General features: G+C 42.2%; 1 protein-coding gene across 1 annotated transcript in view; it reads right to left on the bottom strand.

The window, feature by feature from the left end:
- The window catches only part of DGKK (diacylglycerol kinase kappa), a 105,417-nt gene continuing 91,766 nt past the window's right edge, over positions 7,640-21,290 (bottom strand). The window contains exons 21-28 of the mRNA NM_001013742.4: positions 20,809-20,922; positions 20,329-20,463; positions 18,989-19,149; positions 18,255-18,396; positions 17,202-17,288; positions 13,955-14,065; positions 12,657-12,780; positions 7,640-11,250 (exon numbers count right to left, since the gene is read on the bottom strand). Coding sequence (NP_001013764.1) covers positions 11,171-11,250; positions 12,657-12,780; positions 13,955-14,065; positions 17,202-17,288; positions 18,255-18,396; positions 18,989-19,149; positions 20,329-20,463; positions 20,809-20,922 — 954 coding nt within the window. The 3' untranslated portion in view covers positions 7,640-11,170. The remainder of the gene's footprint in view (positions 11,251-12,656; positions 12,781-13,954; positions 14,066-17,201; positions 17,289-18,254; positions 18,397-18,988; positions 19,150-20,328; positions 20,464-20,808; positions 20,923-21,290) is intronic.

The following is a 21,290-nucleotide window of genomic DNA, read 5'->3' on the forward strand; positions in this document are numbered from 1 at the left end:
GGGCCTCAGTTTTCATTTCTTTCAGGTATATACTTGGGAGTAGAATTGCTGGATCATGCAATAACTCTAGTTTAACTTGAGAAACCTCTATACTCTTCCAAAGTGGCTGTACCATTTTACATTCCCATAAGCAGTATGTGAGGATTCCAGTTTCTCCACACCCTCTCCAACACTTGTTATTATATTTCTACTATAGCCCTCCTAGTGGGTGTAAAGTGATATCTTGTGATTTTGATTTACATTTCCCTGATGGCTAATTATGTTGAGCATATTCTCATGTGCATATTGGCCATTTGTGTATCCTTTTTAGAGAAATATCTATTCAAATCCTTTGCCCATATTTTTTTTTTTGAAACAGAGTCTTGCTCTGTTGCCCAGGCTGGAGTGCAGTGGCACAAACATGACTCACTGCAGGCTCAATCTCCTTGGCTTAAGGGATTTTCTTACCTCATTCTCCTGAGTAGCTGGGACTACAGTCACTTGCGACCACACCCAACTAATTTTTTTAATTGTTATTTTTAGTAGAGATGAGGTCTTGCTATGTTGCCCAGACTGGTCTCAAGCTCCTGTTTGCACATTTTTAATTGGGTTATTTGTCTATTATTGAGTGGTAAGAGTTTTTTAAAAATATATTCTGGGTCATATATATGATTTGGCAATATTTGATTATACCAATTGTCTTGAAAGTTTTACTTTCTTCATAGTGTTATTTAAAGCATATTAAGTTTCAAATTTTGATGAAGTTCAATTTATCCATTTTTAAATGTTTTTACTTTTGGTGTCATAGCTAAGAAACCATCACCTGATCCAAGGTCTTGAAGATTTATCCCTGTTTTCTTCTAAGAATTGTGTAGGTTTAGCTCTTATGTTTAGGTTTTAAATTCATTTTAAGTTAATTTTTATATATGGTATGTAGGGTTGCAACTTCATTCTTTTGCATATGGATATTTGGTTGTTTCAGCACTATTTGTTGAAAAAAACTATGTTTCCCCCACATAATTATTTTGATACCCTTGTTGAAAATTAAATTAAATATGAGAGCTTATTTCTGGATTCTCAGTTTTATTCCATTTACCTATGTGATATCTAGCCTTATGCCAGTACTGTAATTCTTTAAATATTAAAAACAATGACAAACAAAAATTATATTGCTGTAGCTTTGTAGTAAGTTTTAAAATTAAAAAAAAAAAAAGATATGAGTCCTCCAATTTTTTGATCCTTTCCTTTTCAAGTTTATTTTGGCAATTCTGGGTCCCTTGCATTTCCATATGAATTTTAGCATCAACATGTCAGTTGCTGAAAAGAAGTTCACTGGGATTTTTGATAGGGCTTACATTTAACTCATAGGTCAATTTGGGGAGTATTTTCATCTTAACCATCTTAAATCTTGCTCTCTATGAACATGGATATCTTTCCTTTTATTTGGGTCGTGTTTAGTTCGTTTCAACAGTTTTTTTGTAGTTTTCAGTATATAAGTTTTGTACTTCTTTTCCTAAGTATATTCTAAGTATTTTTTGATTGAGCCATCAGTCTTGGATCACTTTCAATTACCTACTTCATTCCCCACAAACATATTTACCTCTTCACCTATCTCAAGTATCTTTATTTTCTGTTTTAAAGGTTGGACAGACCCACCTACTGTTCAAGGCAACTCAACTACCTTGGGACTTTTCTCCCTCAATTTTTCTCTGTCGTCTTAGCCCTTCCCTTGTTTTTCCCTGCCACCATTTCCTGTACTTTCATCTTCTTCCTCTTTTGTAATCTTCATTTCTAGCTTAAAAACATGCTCAAGACACTCTTGCTACATGCATACAAAATGAAAAGCAAAACAAAACAAAACCCCCCATTTTTTTTTTTCGAGATGGAGTCCCGCTCTGTCGCCCAGGCTGGAGTGCAGTGGCACAATCTCAGCTCACTGCAACCTCCACCTCCCAGGTTCAAGCGATTCTCTTGCCTCAACCTCCCAGGTAGCTGGGATTACAGGTGCATGCCACCACACCCAGCTAATTTTTTGTTTTTATTTTTAGTAGAGATGGGGTTTCACCATGTTGGCCAGGCTGGTCTCGAACTCCTGACCTCAGGTGATCCACCCACCTCAGGCTCCCAAAGTGCTGGGATTATAGGCGTGAGCCACTGTGCTTGGCCAAAATAAAACTCTTTATCTGCATCCACCTCCCACCTGCTGTCCAGTTCATCTCTTCTTTGTACTAAACTTCTTTTTAAAGTACACTGACTCACTGTTTCTACTTAACTCATGTTCCATTCAGTCCTTTAACCCGTTGTAATGTAGCTTTTGTCCCCTAGCACTTCATTGATGGGCCTGTCACAGAAACATTGATGATTTTCTGGTTGGCAAATCTAGTCGACAGTTTTGAGCTTTATCTTACTGGAACCCTTTTGCTACCTTTGACACTGGTGTCTTTTCATTCCTTTTGGCACTCTCTAGCCTCTTGGTTTCTGGGCCATTAGATTTTTGTAGTTCTCTCATCTTTCTGACCTTCCTTTACTATCCTCTTTGTAGGCTGTTTTTGTACCATCTGCCCCTCAAAAGTTGGTGTTCTGTTAGTTTCAGCTTTGGCTCTCTGATTTATCTCCTTGAGTGATCTCAGCTACTCCCATAGTTTCAAGTACCACCAAGCCATTAACTTTTGAGGCTTGGTCTTCAGCTCAAACCTGTGGTCCTAGGTTCAGGCTTATATTTATCTTCTGTTGGCCATGTCTACCTGAATGTCACACAGTTACCTCAAACTAAACATGTCCAAAACTGAATTTTTTCTTTCTGCTAACATGGTTCTATATTTTATATTCTGTATCTTTATCACCATCCACTTAGTCACCCAAACCAGACACTCAGGAGTTCATCTAGGCTCTCTTTTCCCTCCCTAATAACTCTTATTCAATCATACTGATTTTTTACCTTCAATTCCTAACTTAAAGGCTGACCACTCATGTCTTAGACTTCCATGTGTCAATTATGGCCTTATAAGAGGGTGCCATCATTAAGTCTTGCTGATTTTACCTCCCAGATATTTCTTGGATTGGCATTCTCATCATATTCTCTCCTACCACTACCCAGGTTTGAGATCTCATTCTACTGCCTGGATTACTGTGGTAGTTTCCCACCTGATGTCCCTATCTTCAATCTTGTTCCTTTCAAATTCACCTTCCATACAAGCACCAGAAAGATTTATTTAAAATTCAATTTTAGGATTACAGTTCTGGGTAAGATATTTAAGCATCTGTTACCCTTTGTTTCCCACTGAACATGATCATAAAACCCAGAAAGAACGCATGGCAACTCATGGCGAGTTTCCCACATTTTTTTCTCTGGCAACTTAATCCAGTCAGAAACCTTGAAGGGAGCACTATGGTACAGACAGAAAGCTCCAGAAGAAGCTTTCTAGTTCTGGCTTGAGAAGTGAGAGAAGGAATTCCTAAAGCTTGGGGTTGGGGAGGTGGAAATCCCCATCTTTTTATTTCTCTCTTCCCTCACACCCCAACCCTCAGGCAATCATACAGCATCAGCAACAATGATAGCAATGGGAGCCTTCGAGAACCAGTACTCTCAGGGAATGGACCCATAATCTCTATTTGAGGTAGAGTTGGGGCCCCAAGAGAGCAAAGCCACATTCTGTTGATTTTTTTTCTCTTTCTGTTCTCCCACTGCTTATCTCCAGATGTGGCACAATTGCAGACATGAACAATTTCTGACTAGCGGACGGAAAGGGAAGTACTAGGAACTGGGGAGTACTGGGGAGAATGTGGAGAAGTAGGAGCTCAGGAAAGTGACCCCATAAAGTTTTTTTTAATGTGCTCTTTGGTGTGTATCCTCAACCTGTATGTGTGTTGATCCAGATCCTAATTAGCATACTAAGAATTTGAGAACTGAGCTGACAGACACTCATCTAGGTTCTAGACTGACCATTTCATGACATGCACAGCAGACAGATCCAGATAGCACTGCAAAGGCTTTGAAAACTGAGGTTGGACCCTCAGCCCACAGAAGGCAGGTGGAAACCTGTGGCCTGAACCTAATCAGATTGACTGCAAAAGCAAACATACATTTTCCATAAAATTTAAACCAGTTCTACAATTTTATAATGTTTATCCAGGATATACTCCAGAATTACTAGGCATATGAAGAACCATTGACATCTCAACTTGCATGGCAAAAGACAACAGCAAGGACAAAAAGATAAAGGTGTTGGAATTATCTGACAAAGTCTTTAAGTCTGCTACCATAAAAACTCAAATGAACAATTGCAAACACTTTTGGAACAAATGTTAAAATATAAATGTTAAGCTATAGAGTCTCATCAAATAGGAATTAGAAGAGCCAAATGGACATTTTAGGATTGAAAAATACAGTAACTGAAACTTAAGACCTCACTGTGTGGACTCGAGAGAGGACAAAGGAAAGAGTAAAGTTGAAGGTAGATAAATAGAAATTATGCAATGTGACAGAAAAAAGATTGAAAAAAAAAATGAACAATGCCTCAGGGACTTGTAGGACAATAACAAAAGGTCTATCAGTCATGCTATTAGAGCCCTAGGAGGAGAGGAGAAAGAGAACAGTGCAGAAAAAAATCTTTGAAGAAACAATGGCTGAAAAGTTCTCAAGTTTGGTTAAAGACACCAACCTGTAGGTTTAAGAAAACAAGTGAACCTCAACAGGATAAATAAAACCCATAAATAGATAAATCATAGTCAAACTGCTGAAAAAGACTAAGAAAAACAGAAATGATGCATTATGTACTGCATAGAGGAACAACAATTTGAATGACTATAGATTTATCATCAGAAACTCTGTAGACCAGAAGGAAGAAACAAAATTTTTCAAGTGTTGAAAGAATGATCAATCCAGAATTCAGTATCTAGCAAAAAATAACTTTCAGGAATGAAGGTAAAACTTAAAACACAATTTCAGACAAAGGAAAACTAAGAAAATTCACAGCAAGCGTATCTGCTGTAAAATAATTTTTAAAGGAATTTCTTCATATAGAAATGAAATGATGGACATAGAAAGTGGAATGATAGATAGTGGAGACTCGGAAGGGTGGGATGATGAAAAAATACTTGGGTACAATGTACATTATTTGGTTGATGGATACACTAAAATCCCCAACTTGACCACTGCACTATCTATGCTTGTAACAAAATTGCACTTGCACCCCATAAATTAATACAAATTAAAAAAAAAAAAAAGAAATACCAGAAGAGAAATTGGAACATCCGGAATGAAGGAAGAGCAACAGAACTGGTATCTGGCTAAATATAATAAACTACTCTTTTCTTAAGTTTTGTAAAACATATTTGTTGATTAAAAGCAAAAATTACATTTTGATGGGATTTTCGATGTATGTAAATGTAGTACATAAGACAGTAATAGCATAAAGTGGAGAGAACAAAGGGCTCAATATGCTGGTAGGGTTTTTACATTGCAATTGAAGTGGTAAAATGTTGATTCTAAGTAGACTGTGAAAAGTATATATTTTGTTATCCCTGGAGCAACTACTAAAAAAATTACACAGAGAGATGTCAGAGCCACAATAGATAAAATGGAATACCAAAAGTTCAAATAATCTTAAAAAAAAAAGCAGGAAAAGAGAAACAGAGAAGGAAAAAAAAACCAGAGACCAAACAGAAAATTTTAAAATGGCAAACCCCAATCCAGTCTTATCAGTAATTACATTGAATGGTCTAAACATACAAATGAAAAGACATATTGTCAGGATGGATTAAAAAAGCATGACCACATGCTGCCTACAAAAACTCACATCAAATATGATGATATAGGTTGGTTAAAAGTAAAAGGCTGAAAACAAATGCCACTTGAAAACCAAAAGAAGGCTGGAGTGGCTATATTAACATCAGACAAAGTTGACTTCACTGCAAAGTGTTAGGAATAGTGATGTTATATATTGATAGTGTCAATTCACCAAGAAGGCAGCAATCCTAAATGTGTCCTAATAACAGTTTCAAAATACTAGAAGCAAAAATTGATAGAATTGAAACAAGAAATGAACAAATCCATAATTATAGTTTCAGTAATTGACGGAAGCTAGCAGACAGAAAATCAGAAAAGATATTGAAGAAATGAACACCATTAGCCAACTGAATCCAACTGATGTTTATAGAACACTTTACCAAACAAACGGCAGAATACACATTCTTCTCAAGTGCACATGGGACATTCTCCAAGATAGACCATATCCTAGGCCATAAAACAAGTTTTAACCAATTAAAAACAATAGAAATCACAGAGTGTGTTCTTTGGCCACAGTGGAATTAAACTAGAAATGAATAACAGATAAACAATAGTAAAATCTTCAAACACTTGGAAATAACATACCTTTAATCCATGGGTCAAAGAAACTGGAAACCACCCAAAGGACCTCCAGTGGATGAATGGATAAACTGGTGGATCCATGTAATTGAATTCTATTCAGCAATTAAAAGGAACAAACTGTTGATTCACATGACATCTTGAAAGAATATGAAAGGCATTTTGCTGAATTAAAGAAGTCTGTCCCAAAAGGTTACATATTCTATGACATTCTTGAAAGCCCAAAACCATAGTGATGTAAAATAGATCAGTGGTTAGAAATAGGGTTAAGGTGTGATTATAAAGAAATAAAGGAGATTTCTGGGGCACTGGAAACTGTTCTGTATCCTGATAGTGGTGGTGGTTACATGAATGTCTACATGTGTTAAAATTCATGGAGCTCTACACCAAAAGTAAAGGGCAATTGTATGATCATTTGAAAAATAGACTTAAAATTCAATTCTGATGGTGCTTCACTAGCCTACAGGGTGCAGTACAGACTTCTTAATATGGATTACAGGGCCCACCCCGGTGGTAGCGCCTCAACAACAGGGCTGTTTCCCCTCATAAAGCCTAAGAATGTAGTTTTGGGGGTAGACTGAAATGTGGTCCCGAAGGTCACAAATGTTTTGTCTCTAAATAAGACACTTTTCAGTTTGGAAAATCAAGGATTTAGAAGACTCAAGTTCTCACTCTGGTGTAGCATGTTGTGGAATCCTGGCCTAGTATAGCCTCAGTTCCCTACCTATTAAACACGACTAAGAACTGGCTCCCCTGGGGTCACTATTAGTGTGACAGAAATTAAACTGTATTGAATGCTCAGCCGAACTGATTTTGCATTTGAACAGAATATGGCTTCCCACCTCAAACCCCTCTGGAGAGGAGAGGAGTGTATGATGTATGCATTGGGGGGAATAGATTGTATTGTCAGATTTCAAGGTGCCTTATGCATTTATTTAACAGTCTGGACTACACTCTATCCCACTTTGCCTCCCCAGTAACTAATGCATTCCACTGAGATTTGTATCCTGCAGAGAATTAGCTCCTGGAGCAATTACAGTGGCATGTATTTCCCCACAGGATCATCCAGAGTCGCAGCTAGGTTTTAGAGTTCTTCTTGGCAACCCCTTTAGTATCATGATCATCCCTGATGGAGATTCTTGGTTTGCGCTGTTGCTGTCCTCCCTCACCTGCCATCGTGACCTGCATGTGGCTTGTTTAGAGCTTGGATGGCCACCCAAGCCCACCTGCCCCCCATTTCCACCACCATTCAACTCCCTTTATGCTGAGGTAAATGATGAGGCACGGCATTGATTATGTTTATCCATTTATTAAAATATTTAAAGAAGCAATACTTTATTAACATTGAGGACTGGTGTTCCATTTGGCGGGGGGAGAGGAATAGGCACACTTTGTGGATCTTTTTTTTCTGCTTTTTCCTGTTACCATGTAAATACCCCAGCTTCCTCCCCCAACCAGCCCCTGGCCCTGCTGCTTATTTGCAGGGGCCTCTGAGGAAATAAAAAACACAGAGCAGAAAACAACAATGGGTTACAGATTCACTGACAAATAGACAAATGCAATTCCACAAATCATATAGCCAAGCAAGGTCTCATATAGGATGGAATGGTGCTAATGGGTTTGGTTGCTTTGGTATTATTTTCCACCTCTCGTGAAAGAAAAATTCTTCCATTTGTGTCCTGAGGGAAGATGACGTTGACCCTGACTGTTTCTTCTGGCCCAGTTTTATTAAGGTAAAAAATCTCTTTCTTATTCTTAACCTGCTCTTATGGACACAGCACAGGGCCTTTCTGGAGAAGGGGACCCATAACTGTTTACCTCCTATAGTATTGACACCAGAAGCAGTTGGTGGCAGTTCAAATGTATCGGCTTTTTCTTCTCCACTATTCTTCTGGCCAGGAATTGCCTACCCAACCAATTCGTCAGAAAGTGCTACCAAAGATACAACCAAACCCTAGAGCTTTGGGTCTTAATGATGTCTGAACATAATTGAGATGGATATTTGGTGTTTGGTCCCACCACCCAAGCAATTGTATTAATTACTGCAAGTGGTTAACAAAGTCCTTAAAGGAGCTCACACTCCCAGAGCTAAGACAACTCCCTTGAGGCATCACTTCTTGCTTTGTTTCCAAGTGAGCATATGCAAGAACAGGTGCTTGGCAAGCTATCTTCCTTTTTGGGAAACTACTGGTAACTTAGCAATTTAGGAGGTAACTGAGGGATTGAGCAAGCCACACCTGCTCCTGGGCCTTGTCATCTATCAACTGTGCTCCATGAGCTGACTCTAGCCCCAAATACTAGTGGTTTCAGTCAATATCATTCTGACTCAGAGTGGGAGGACAGGGTAGGTGAAAGGGAATCCACATGGCACAACAGAGCAACAGCAGCATCACTGTGCACAAAGACCTAATTATTGCAGCAAAGTAAGCACAAGAGATGGAGTCTTATTACAGTTTACTATCATCAGTGATAAAAATAATTATAAGACACAGCCCTGCTTAGTCACTGCCAAGATAAAGCTATCTTCTCCCAGGACTTCCTTCTGTAGTCCTAAATTTGCTCATTTGGACATTTTCCCCTTCGGAAAAAGCTCTTCTGAAGAAAATGCAACTTGGTTCCCACTCTGTGAGTGTGTGTGCAGGTGTCAATGCATGCAGCCATAGAGGAGCCAAGTCAGGCTGCAATAGTGAGCTTGCTGATTTCATCTAATACCTCCTCCTGGGAAGAAAGACTAATAACAGAGAAAGTCAAAGACACAACAACAGCACACTCACTACTCAAATATGTACAACAAGCTAACACATTCTGATGCTTAAATAAGTTTTAAATGTTTTCTGTCATCTTTTTCCATTGACTTTCTTCTCTAGTTGTAGAGCTAGGACTTAGTTTGGCACAGCAATCAGACATTTGGGGACTATCCCCTTGTTAATATTTTTCTCCTCACCCCTGCGGAGGTGGAGCACAGGTGGCTGGTTTAAGTGGGTTAGGCTGGTGGAGTTCCAGAGTTGAGAACCAGTGCTTGGAATCTGAATTGTGCACCTCAATGAACCAGCCATTGGACTGAATCAGGTAATTGAGCACGCTAAGTTTGTCTGAGAAGTAGGGAGAGGCCAGTTTTCTCTTGATAAGTGGGAAGGGACAGTTAACTAAAGGTATGAGTCAAGGGTGGGGTGAAGATGCAAGGCTGACCAGAGAGAACCTCTCTGGGCATTGGGGTTTGATTAGATTTGCCCTGACTGGGAGAAGGCATTTTTGAAAAATGTGAATTAGTATTTGGAGCGATTTAGGAATAGTTTGTTTTCATGAGAAATTTGCAAGAAGAACCACAGGAAAGCACAGGCTTCTAGCCTTCATTTCTCCAGGCCCATGTTTTTTCTGATCACTTCAATGCCCCTCTGTACTCAAGGGAAAAGGGCAAGATGGGAGATTTGAAGGTGACTTGAGGACTGACCCAACAGCCTGTCCAGAAGATCAGGCCAAGATGGAGCTTGTGGGGAAGGGCCTAGGCTGTGACTTAATTGTCAGGCAGTCCCTAGTTCAGGCATCTAAGTCACAGAGCTCAAGGCCTGGTTGCTCCATATAGTCTTTTTATTGGGGAAGGGCACAGTTGCTGATGAAGAGTCTAGGACAGATAGAGCAAAAAAAGGCAGCATGCCAGCTTAAACCCCTTCTTTAGGGCATTGGTGTTTTTGTTCCCCTTTCCATGGCCTGGCTCAGAATTTTAAGGGGGCGTCAGAATCAGCTGGGCCATAGATCCCAGCCACCTCTAAGACGCTGAAAATGCACCAAAAGATTTAGAAGCTCCACCAAGAAATAGGGCAGTTGGTAGAGGTGTATGTGTTATTGTTATGTAGAGTAAGGGGGAGTGGGAAGGGATTCCTGGATTAGCACAATAAATTATAGGGTCACTTAGAGGTCGAGTTGTATTTTCAGCTCTTAAAAATATATATGCGTATGTATATATATATACATCTTTATGTCTCTATACATAATCTATACTGCAGCACAGCGGCAAAACATTTAGTTAAAAAATCCAGCAAGAATGCAGGCAAACACTCCGTGGAGGCATGCAGGCTAGGATCAAGGCAGCAGGAGGGGAGCCTGTATGGTTGCCATGAGGGGTGAGTTCCAACCAATGAGCCCACCAGAGCACCACCTGGACATATGCAGACATACAAGCACACATAGAAAAACGCAAAGGGTTTGCAGAGAGAGAGAGAGGTTACCATATCTACAAAAAGAGATTTCACATGGTCATCTTAACAGGAAAGTGGACAAGCCCCCAGGATCTAGTTCTCATTTTAATGAGCCAACTAGAAGAGATCTCCTGAAGGTGCAAGTTGCAGTTGGCAGGGATTCGGAGAGACACACAACCAAGTCTGGCTGTCCTGCCTGCCCCCTTCTCTTCATCTCCCTGGGAGTCTGTGTGTCTTTCATTCATTCCTTAGCATTGATAGTTTCTCTGCTGGTCAGAGAAAACCATTCCAAAACTCCCTGAAGAGGTGAACTCCCTTGAATCCTTTATAGATCCCAGGCCATTCATAAAGAGCTTATCCCAATAAATACTGTAGTTGCTCAAGATGCACAAAGAGAAGGAGAACTGAACAAGACAACTCGGAACAAGAACCTTTGGCCAATGAGGAAATGTAAACCTCTAAGGAGACCAGATTAAGTCCAGGAAAATGCATTAGTGAAAAGAATTGGAGGGTCTTTCTTGGTGGTGCTCATGTTTGTTCTGAAATGATTTAGTCTAGCCTGTATTGAGGTTTTGAGAGTTTTTTTAGTAGAATTCTCAATGTTGTGAGTTCTTCCAGCTTTCAAGGGCTACAGTTGAGATCTCGATGGTGTTAGAGGATCATCACCCTCTGCTTCATCTTCACGATGTCTGCGGTGCCATAAATTGCCTTCAGAGGAAAAAAAATGGTATAGAAATAATGAGGTTAGCACAATGCCAGATGCCCAAGTATGTGGACCCAAAAGAGAGCAAAAAGTCTGTTAGAAGATAGACTGGTTTGTTCCTATTGTACTAACCATCTCTGAATCATCAGGGAAAACCAGCTGAAACCAAGTGAGCTAAAGACAAATGGGATGAATTTTCAGAACCTGATAATTTATGGAACTGATATTGACTCTGTCAGAGTCTTTAGAAATATTTGCAAACACTATTGTCTCCCAATTGACAGACTCTTAAGGAATCAAACCAGTTCGACCATACCTGAGAAAATACAGCTCGATCCAAGAGATTCTCTCTTGGCATTCGTGCAAACTCTTAGTTCCTTGAAAACAAACTGCTACCCTCTGTCCCTTTCTTTTTTTCTTTTTTTTCTTTCTTTCCTTCTTTCTTTCATTTCGCTCCCTTTCTTTCTCCTTCCGTCCTTTCTTTATTCTTCCTCTTTTTTTCTCCCTCCTTCCTTCCTTCCTTCCCCCTCCCTGCCTCCCTCCTTCCCTCCTTCCTCTTTCTTTCAAGATGAGGTCTCACTCTATTGCCCAAGCTGAAGAGCAGTGGCATGATGACAGCTCTCTGCAGCCTCAGCCTCCCAGGCTCAAGCAATCCTCCCACCTCAGCCTCCCAAGTAGCTAGGACTACAAACGCACACCATCATGCCCTATTAATTTTTTATTTTTTGTAGAGACAGCAGGGTCCCACCACGTTGCCCAGGCTGGTCTTGAACTCCTGGGCTCAAACAGTCTGCCTGCCTCGGCCTTCCAAAGTGTTGGGATTACAGGTGTGAACCTGTTCCTTTTTTTTCCATGTCCACTATTACTGCATCTCTCAAGCTTCCAGGTTGTCTAGGACCAAAATTTAGGAGGGACCACCATTTACATCAGAATTGGCACAACTGAAAACTCTAAGAGAACCTTCTTTTGAATCCTACTGATATGTCAATAGTGCTTAAGGCCAATTCTGAAGAAAGAAGAAATGGAACCAAAATTCAAACAATAAAATATACAGATATGTTGCTTTTCTACCACTTACTATAACAGGAACAAAAGTGTTTAGATAGGCCACAGAACCTGTTCCTGACCCTTAGGAGTGAATCAGGCAGAAAAATCACCGCCTGTTTGCATTTTTGTTTTCTGTATATGTTATGGAGACCACACAGGTTCTCCCCTTACCAGTGTCCATATCACTTTCTCTCACCTTGTCCAAGATATGGCTTGGTATCACTTACTGCTGACTCCCAGATGGCCTCCCGCTTCATCATCACCATTCCCACAAACATTTCTAATGGGGGCTTCAGGTCCCTGGGAGGTAGCCAGGCTGTTGGGGGAAGTCTTCATGACCCCTCTGCCTGTGGGGGAGACTTACCAATAAAACTCTGGACACTCTGGCCTGATTTAGGCTTGCGTTCCTCTTCTACCTTTTTCTTTCCCAATTTGGGGAACTTAATTTTCAGCCTGAGGCTTCTACTGTCAGTGTCCGAAGATTTTTCCTGAGAAACCACAAGAGGAAGGTCAAAATGTTAGTTGCCTAATATTCAAAGATAATTGCTGGAGTCCTGGAAAAGTGGTAAACAAGAATGGCTACAGAGAACAGGGAGATCTGCTCTCTATCCAGGTATGAGAAACACCCCCATCACTGGTCGCATGCCCTAGGAAAGCAATTGATCCTTACCAAGAGGCTACTTGATGCCAGGTGCTTTGCTAGCATTAATAAATGCTCTCATACAACTCTCAAAGCAACCTTGCAAAGTGGTTATTAACATCCCTGTATCAGAGATGAGGAAGCAGAAGCTTGGAGAGGTTAAATATTTCACCTGAGCTCATGTGGCTAGGGATTAGAAGGATGAGATTGCTAGCGCCACTGCTAGCTCACATGGAATCTCTGCATGAATTAGGAAAAAACACCTCTTCCTTCAGACATATAGTTTGGTGAGCCTTGGCCAAATACCTTCTTATAGGGAAGACCCTTGCCTGCCAGGCCAGCTGCTTCCCTGTCTGGAATGCAAAGAGAGTTCTCTAAACATAACTCTTAATTATGAACTTGGGCTCTCTGCTGTGCAGATCATGCAGGCTCTGTAATTCCAGCTTAGGCCTGCTAAAGTATGCTTGTTTTACTACTGGTCTCAGTAAAACACAATTTTGAGATTAACTTTGTTGTCAGAAAACCCAGAGTGGGAGGGACGGAAAGCAGCAGGGAGAGGTAATATTTGGAAGATTTAACCACCAGTATGGCCTGGGCACCAACCATTTAGAACAGGTATTGGCTGTAAACTGGCATGGCCATACTGGTATGAACCAGATGAAGTTCAGTCCTGGCAGCAGGTGCTGAGCAGGGAGGGGGAATTTGCAGCCAGGAAAACAACACACAAAAAAACCTATCTTGCTTATTCTTTCTTGATCATCTCTTGTTACAGAATGAGCCTTCTTTCTGGTTATTTTTCCACAGTCACCTAATTTTTCTACATGTTTTCTGCCTTACCCTATCTATTTATGATGAAGAGATTGGGGGGAGGTGGGCAGGGAGGAAGCTCCAGTAACCTTCAGTTTAAAGCCAGCACTGGACCCCCTGTACTACAGTCACCATGTCCTGGCCCACACTGGAAGGGAAGGCACTAAGGAAGAATCCCTCTTTCCCTTTATTTCCCAATTCCCAAGATTACGCACCTCTGGAACAAAGATTGGATTCATCCAGTCAATCTCAGATAGCTTTTTGAACTCCTTATTCATGGCATCCAGGGCGCTTTGTAGTGCAGTCTCATCCTCAGCACTTCTCAGCTGGTACAGACAGGAAAAAGAGTAAGTGTCCAATGCCTAGCACTTTTGTAGACTCTTACACTCTCCCCCACTCCCAGTCCCTGCTAGTGACCAAGAGACCACAAGGTGCCAACTTGTATCCCTTTGGCCCATAGCCAGCTGTTTTCTTTCTCAAAAGGAATATCCAGAAAACAACCAAATGGTGGGGCTCTCCTTGGGGCTGGGCATGCTTACAGTTTTGCAAGCAGAGAGGTCTTTTGATTAGTATCAATTAACACTGAGCTTCACCCCTACAGCTTAGGGTTGAGGACAAGGGTCCTACTGTGACCTCCAGTCCCTGGAGACATCTCAGTGTTCCCCTAAGTAAAAGCTACCTAGCTTTGAGCACATACTGTATGCCAAGCACTGTACATACATAATTTTGTCCCATCTTCCCGGTAACCTTACAATACCTTACAAGGTACTATTGTTTTCATTCCATGGGTGAGAAAACAGACTCCAAGAAGTTTAGTGCTCAAGATCACACAGCTAGACAGAACCCAGGTCTGTTTAACTGTATAGCCTGCCCTCTATACAACATTGTCTTATCAAAGACATGTGGGGAGGCCAGATGCTGAGGGAATCTTTATTACATGCTTACTGTAATTTAAAGGTTGTTTTGTGAAGCAAGGAGAGAGCTAGAGAGAGGCTGGCTCAACTTTCTCCTCCTGGAAAAGAGGGTCTGTCTCCCCAGGCCATGCTTTAGCCCCCAGCTATCACTATGACTAATTAAGAAATGAGTTCTAGATGGCTTGTCCCACAGGTTCAGGAAGCAAATTTAAGTGCTCCCTAGTAACCCCCAGCGCCCACAAGATGAACTTTGTACAGTCCATGGAAGACTTAAAATGGATTCTTTTGGGACCATCTTCGACTCAGAAGAATCAAGTTCTAGAACATCAACACAGGTGAGATGGTTCACATTCCAGTAAGTAGTGAGCTGGGAGAACAGATGGGCAAAGATATCTTCAGCCCTCACATGCTTACAGCCCACCTAACCTGGCCTCACCTCTACTCCCTGGCATGCACTTTACTTTCAATCTAGCACTTATGTGGCTTCTTGCTGTGCACAGGCCACTTGCTGCTCCAGCCATAGGTTGAGCCTTGCTGGCTGTCACAAACGGGTGGCATGTGAATGAGAGGAGTACAGGGTAGGAAGTTATGGTCAGTCACTATGGGATACTGAGGGAGGAGCAAGTCAGTGCCGACAAATAATGTTTTTTGCTTTTCAACTAGTAACTTAAGACAATACAAACTGCCCTAGATGCACGGGACATGTGTGTGCCAAGTAAGGGAAGTGGGAGTTACTGGGAGGGATTCACTTCGTCATCAATTTACTTCCCTTTACTAACTCTGAGCTCCTTACTGCCCTACTTCTTCAAGGGGAGGAATAACACCCAAATGAAACAAGCTGTATCTCCATCTCACCTCTAGGACAGCCTTTCTGGAGATACATGGTCATTCTTAGCTGCTGCCTGCTTCTTGGCCACATTTGGATGTGTGGATGTGTATGTGTGTTTAAGTCCTCACTGGGCCCTATGAGGTGGGAGACTTCTCAAGTGTGGTATGGGCTCAAGTTGGGTTGTTGGTTGGTGTGAACCAATTTTCAGGTCATGAGCCTCGGGAAAGTGGCGACAAGAGACCAAACGCACCTATTTCCTGCTGCCCAAATGGGCAAGGCTATTGAGCTCTGCCTATATATAGAAAGTACTTCTGTTGATGTTGTCTGAGGCTCAAAGACTAGCTTGGGGCTCAGATGTTGGGACAGTCTGACCTGATTGCCTTAGCCACTCTGCCTCCTGTGCAGTGTGCCAATTAGATGAGCAAATGAAAAGAGGAAATAGATGCACTTCTGCAATATCAACTCTGAAGCCCCTCTTCAAATAAACCTTAATTAGATGAGAGGCAAGCACAGCACCTGCCTCAGGGCCTTACCAGCCAACCCTAAAGTGGATGATCATAATTAGTCACCTCATCAGAGCACACTCACCAAGTATGCCTATGGGTTTTGCATTCTGAGAAACATGCAACTAGCCTTCTAGCCCAAAAATGGAGCCTCAGTCTGTTCTCCCTAGAACTAACAAAATGCACTATGAAGCTGCTAGTATAGGCTAGGCACTGATAGGTACTTAATATACAACACCCTGGAGAGGTAGGGATTATAATTCCTATCTTGTAGATATGGAAACTAAGACCCAGAGAGGTGAAGTCACACAGCTAGTGTTATGGGTTGAATTGTGTCCCCCCAGGAATGACACGTTGAAGACCTAATCCCCAGTACATCAGAATGTGACCTTATTCGGAAATAGGGTCATTGCAGATGCAATTAGTTGTTGAGGTCATATTGGATAGGGTAGGCCCCAATCCAATGTGACTGGTGTCCTTATAAGAAGATGGCCTTGTGAAGACAGAGAAACACAGAGAGAACATCATGTGAAGATAGAGGATTGAAGTGATGCATCTACAATCCAAAGAACACCAAAGCTTGCCAGAAAACCACTGGAAGCTAGAAAGAGGCAAAGAAGGACCCCTTACAGGTTTTAGAGAGAGGATGGCCCTGCTGACACCTTGATTTGGACTTCTAGCTTCCAGAATTGAGAGACAATACATTTCTGTTGTTTGAGGACACCTAGTTCTTGATACTTTGTTATGGCAGCCTTAGGAAACGAATATATTAATAGCTAGTAAGTGGCAGATTTGAGATTTGAACCCAGGAATCTCCCAATTTTCCCACTATTCCACACCACCTTCTCATAGGGTGAAAGAGGCATGTAGAAACTTGGGAGGTACAAAGCAGCTCAAAATAGCTCACCTTTTTCTACTGGAGCTGTATCAAGTACGGTAACACTCTACTTTTTATTGGCCTGGTCTGAACCCACAAGACATTTACCAAAGGAGAGGTTGAGACTTTCTCTCAAGAGTATGGTAGTCCCTGTGGATTAGCATAACCCATGAAGTCATACAACCAACAACAATCCTAGGTGACACAGTAGGGACTTCCAGGCAAGCACCTGGCCAAAATGCTCCCACGGGTCTCCAGTGCCCTTGGACCAAGCACAAGACCATGACCATGTTCAGATAGAATACTTTGCCCTCCCAGACTCCAACCCCCTGCACTCACCAGCTTTTCATCCAGGAAAGCTGTGGTGTCATCGTAGAGACCTTTAAGACTAAATGTAACATCTACGGCATCATTTCTGCTTAGAGTCTGAGAGGAAAAGAACGGAAAAGGAGAGAAAAAGACAAAGACAGGGGAGTTGTTGGTTAGTAAGCATGCAGCTGTCTTCTCCGTGGGAAGGTAGAAGCAGGCTAGTAGGATGTGGCTATAGGTGAAAAAGCAATATTCAAAATATAGTACAACTAGCACAGCATGAGCTGTACTATCAGAACGAGTGCCAGCTGACAACTGCTGGTACAGTAGTTGTGTAGTACTATGTGAAGTGGCAGAGCACGGCTTGGCTTTGGCATCACTGATTGATTGCAGTGGGTATAGGAAAATAGGAAATATGCAAACCAGAGGGTAAATTTAAGGCTACTTGTTGTCCTAGGCCAAAACCATCATTCCAGGGCAGGTGAAATTAGGGCCTAACATCTCTCTTCTTGCAACTCCAGGCCTTGAGTTGTAGGCCTCCTCCAACTGTAATCAGGCCCTGACACAATTATATCTTTCGCCTAGCACTAAAGTTACTTTTTAAAAGCATCAGTTAACAATTCTGGCAGTGGACAAAGCCATGGGGTGACACATTTAACATTAAGTGTCCTGCCTGATATGGACCTTTCCCTCAAGAGGAAAACCGAGGCACCCGGAAGTTCTAGTTCCAATGACAGGTGTTCCCTTATCAGGTTATACAGAGATCTACTTGTGATAAGGAAGGGCCAAGTACAAGTTTCTCTTCGTTTATTGTCCATTTCTCCCTTGAAGCTGGTGGGAGGGATGGCTATCAGGGAAGAGGGCTAGCTCTCAGGCTGATGAAATCTGCTGTGATTTTCCCCCAGCAACCACCTTGGACCTGTAACAAGTCAAGGAATGCCTGCCTTCCCGTCCACTCTCTCCATCAGTTTCCTGCCATATTTGCCCAGTTTCTCCGTCCAGCCTCCGGCTCCACTTCTTTCCCTTTCATCCTCTTTCCTATCTGGTTTGACTCCTTTCCTTAATTCACTCCTTTCTACTTACTTCAATGGGAATACAGGAAGCTGCACCCATCTCATTGCCACTGTCTTGGCCGTAAAATATATCATTCAGGATGTTAGCGCTGGCATTCACAGAACCCATGAGGACAGACACATGCTGGTGGATCTTGCTCAGGTCATTAAGTCTGTAATAAAGCAAGGACAGATAGATGAGTTGGGATTTCTGAAGGACTTCTGGCCTGGGGCACTGGTGAGGGTTTGGGTAAGGGTAGAAGTGAAAGCCCTGGGTACCTGACTTGGACTCATGACTCCCTCCTGTTATTTCTGCTCTTCTCTAGGTAGCCACCTATGCTAGCAAATGTTTCTACTCTTCTCTAGGTATTTACCTTTACCCATCCTTGTCTCACCTGAATTTAGATATTGGGAATTTGGGGAGGGTAGAAGGCTAGAACAGAGGAGGGCAGCTGACTCTAGGAACTCCAAGGCCCTCCTGATATTTAAGGGCAAGGGTAAACAGTCTTAGTTCTATTGGGTTTGGATTAGCAACAAGAGATCCAAATTAATCCCTGGGTCTAATGAGAGATGTCTAACCTGGCTTATTGCTGAGCACAGAGAATATTTCCTGCCTGGATTGTGAGGGTCCCGCTCAATTTTTAGAGCTCTAAGCTAAATTCCTCTCTGAGGCCAGGCTCCCTAGTAGCCAATAGACACAAATTGGCTTCTTCTCCCTATGCCTTCTTAGGATTCTCAGCCCTGTATCTAGGCCAGTCCACTTACTTGCTGATGAGGTTTTCTGCAAGCCGAGCTAAGTGCTGCATCTGGGCATACTCCTCGTCAGAGAGGCTCTCTTGAGAGTCCTGGAAGTCCAGCTGGGGTTGAGGGGCAGCTTGAATTTCAGTATGCTTGTATTCCCACATTTTCATTGAGTTCTCAAAGTCCTGGAGATGAATACAGTGGCATATCCTAATGATTGCTGTAGCTACTAGTGCACATGACAGATCTGTCTGTGAGCCTGACGTTTGTGGGCAATGGGTATGTGGGTACAGTGGGTAGAGGGGAAGGAGGGCCCCCTGTCCATTCCCCCTGTCATACCCATCTATATACCTATACAAGTATCCATCATTTTATTCAATCTCTTCTGGACTATGCCCTTTAGTTTTTGTTGTTCTGAGTATGCTGGATTTTGGGACACCAGGCTTGGATCATACACATGTCTGGTTTCTAGAAGCTCCCATATGAAGGCATCATGACTGACAAGACAGTGGAGCACCTTTCATGCTCCCTTCTTTGCCAAATGTAGGCAATATGTGGTGATGCAGTTTAGAGCCAAACATATCTAATTTAATTTTGAATCGTGTTTCTGTCATTTACTAGTTGTGTGACCATTAGCAAATTATTTAACCTCTCTGGTCCTCATTTTCCTCATCTGTAAAATGGGAATAAGTGTATCCACCTCATAAGATTGTGGAGAGAACCTACATGAGAGAAATGTAAAATGCCTAGCACAGAATAGGCAGTTTATAAACTGGACTTCTCTTCCTTTCTCTATTGCTGTTTCCATGGACTTTTCACAGGTTAGAGTGCAAGATAACCTCCAAGCATTGAATATGTGATCAATAATAGCTCCTTTATAAGCTTTAGAAGCTTTAGCTGAAGTGGATGACATGTATTAATGCAGCATTTTAAGGAACCTTAGAGACACCTAAAGACCATGTTCAATGCAGAATCTGTTGCTGAAGGAGAAGATTTTTCCATAATCATCTGACGCTTTTAGCTCTCTTTGCAGTGGAAAGAGGAGGATAACCTTGTCGAAAACCAGGGGAGGAAGCTCCTTGTCTCACTCTCTTGGACAGTGTTTGCAAATGTCAGTATATATCAGAGTGTCTTGAGGAGCCTGTTTGCAAATTTGGGTTCCTGGGAACTATGCAACCCTATGTGGTTCAGTGGGTCTGGTGTGGGGGCCCAAGAATGCATTTATAACCAGCATCTCAAGTGACTCTGATGCCAGGGGCACACAGACCTCCTTTTGAGGAATTCTGCTTGAGTGGAAATATTCAGTACTCAAGTGACTATGGATGAGGCAGTATAGGAGCCCAAGACAAGATTTTCCCCCTTACCCGATCTCTTGTCAGCATCTGGGCAGCGTTCTTGTATCTAATTTTGATAAGGCCTGGTCTCTGAATCCAGGCCTCCCCATCCACCTGCACTGGGATACCTTCTTCACCATCAATGGTTATCATCACCTCATGGCACTGCCAGAGAAAATGAGGAAGAATGGGAGAGAAAAATGGGGCAACTGCTGTAACTCTATCTGATAATCTCATAGTTATGGCCTTGAATGTGTATCTGAAGCAGGACTGGAAAGGATGTGAATCAGATCATCCCAGGAAGAAATGCCTGTTTCCTATGGGCTTTTTGCTCCATTGGCTTCTGCCACCTCTGCCTCCAACCTCAGTCAGCACTTTACTGCCCACCAGATAACCTGCTCACTCCACCCTGGCATTCTTCTACCCAGTTAATTCCTGGGACTATCCCACATCCTGGGTAGCAGTCAAAAACCTCAGCCCCTTCCCAGTGCCCACCCAGCCCCTGCCTACCTGGGCAATGCGATGATGATGCAGGTTGATGATACGGGACATTGCCATCTGCACAGAACCAAAGATTGCCACCACCTCCAGTTTCCCATCATCGATTGCAGGAGCCTCATATTCCTGAGGAGGAAGAACTGTGTCACATCTCCCACCCTTGAGAAATCACACCCTGTCTATAACAAGAAGGCATGTTTAAAGGCTCCTGGTGAGAATTTTTCTAGCTCATGAAGAGTGGAAACACTTCATTATTAAAAGGGAAAAAGATGAGGTCAGAAAGCCAATCTGGGAAAAGGGTACTGCACTCTTAGCCAGTTCCCTCCTTTTCCAATCCAGCATCATAAATACCTGAGGCCAGTCTTATTGGCCTTATGACCTTCTTGGGTAAACTCAGAGTAAAGGGGTCATGGTCAGCATCCCAGGAGATTTTACTGACAGAATTCCTTGGAGAAAAGAGCATGGCCTTGGCCGGGCGCAGTGGCTCACACCTG

The sequence above is a fragment of the Homo sapiens genome, chromosome X, assembly GCF_000001405.40.
Source record: "Homo sapiens chromosome X, GRCh38.p14 Primary Assembly".
Taxonomy (NCBI): Eukaryota; Metazoa; Chordata; class Mammalia; order Primates; family Hominidae; genus Homo; species Homo sapiens.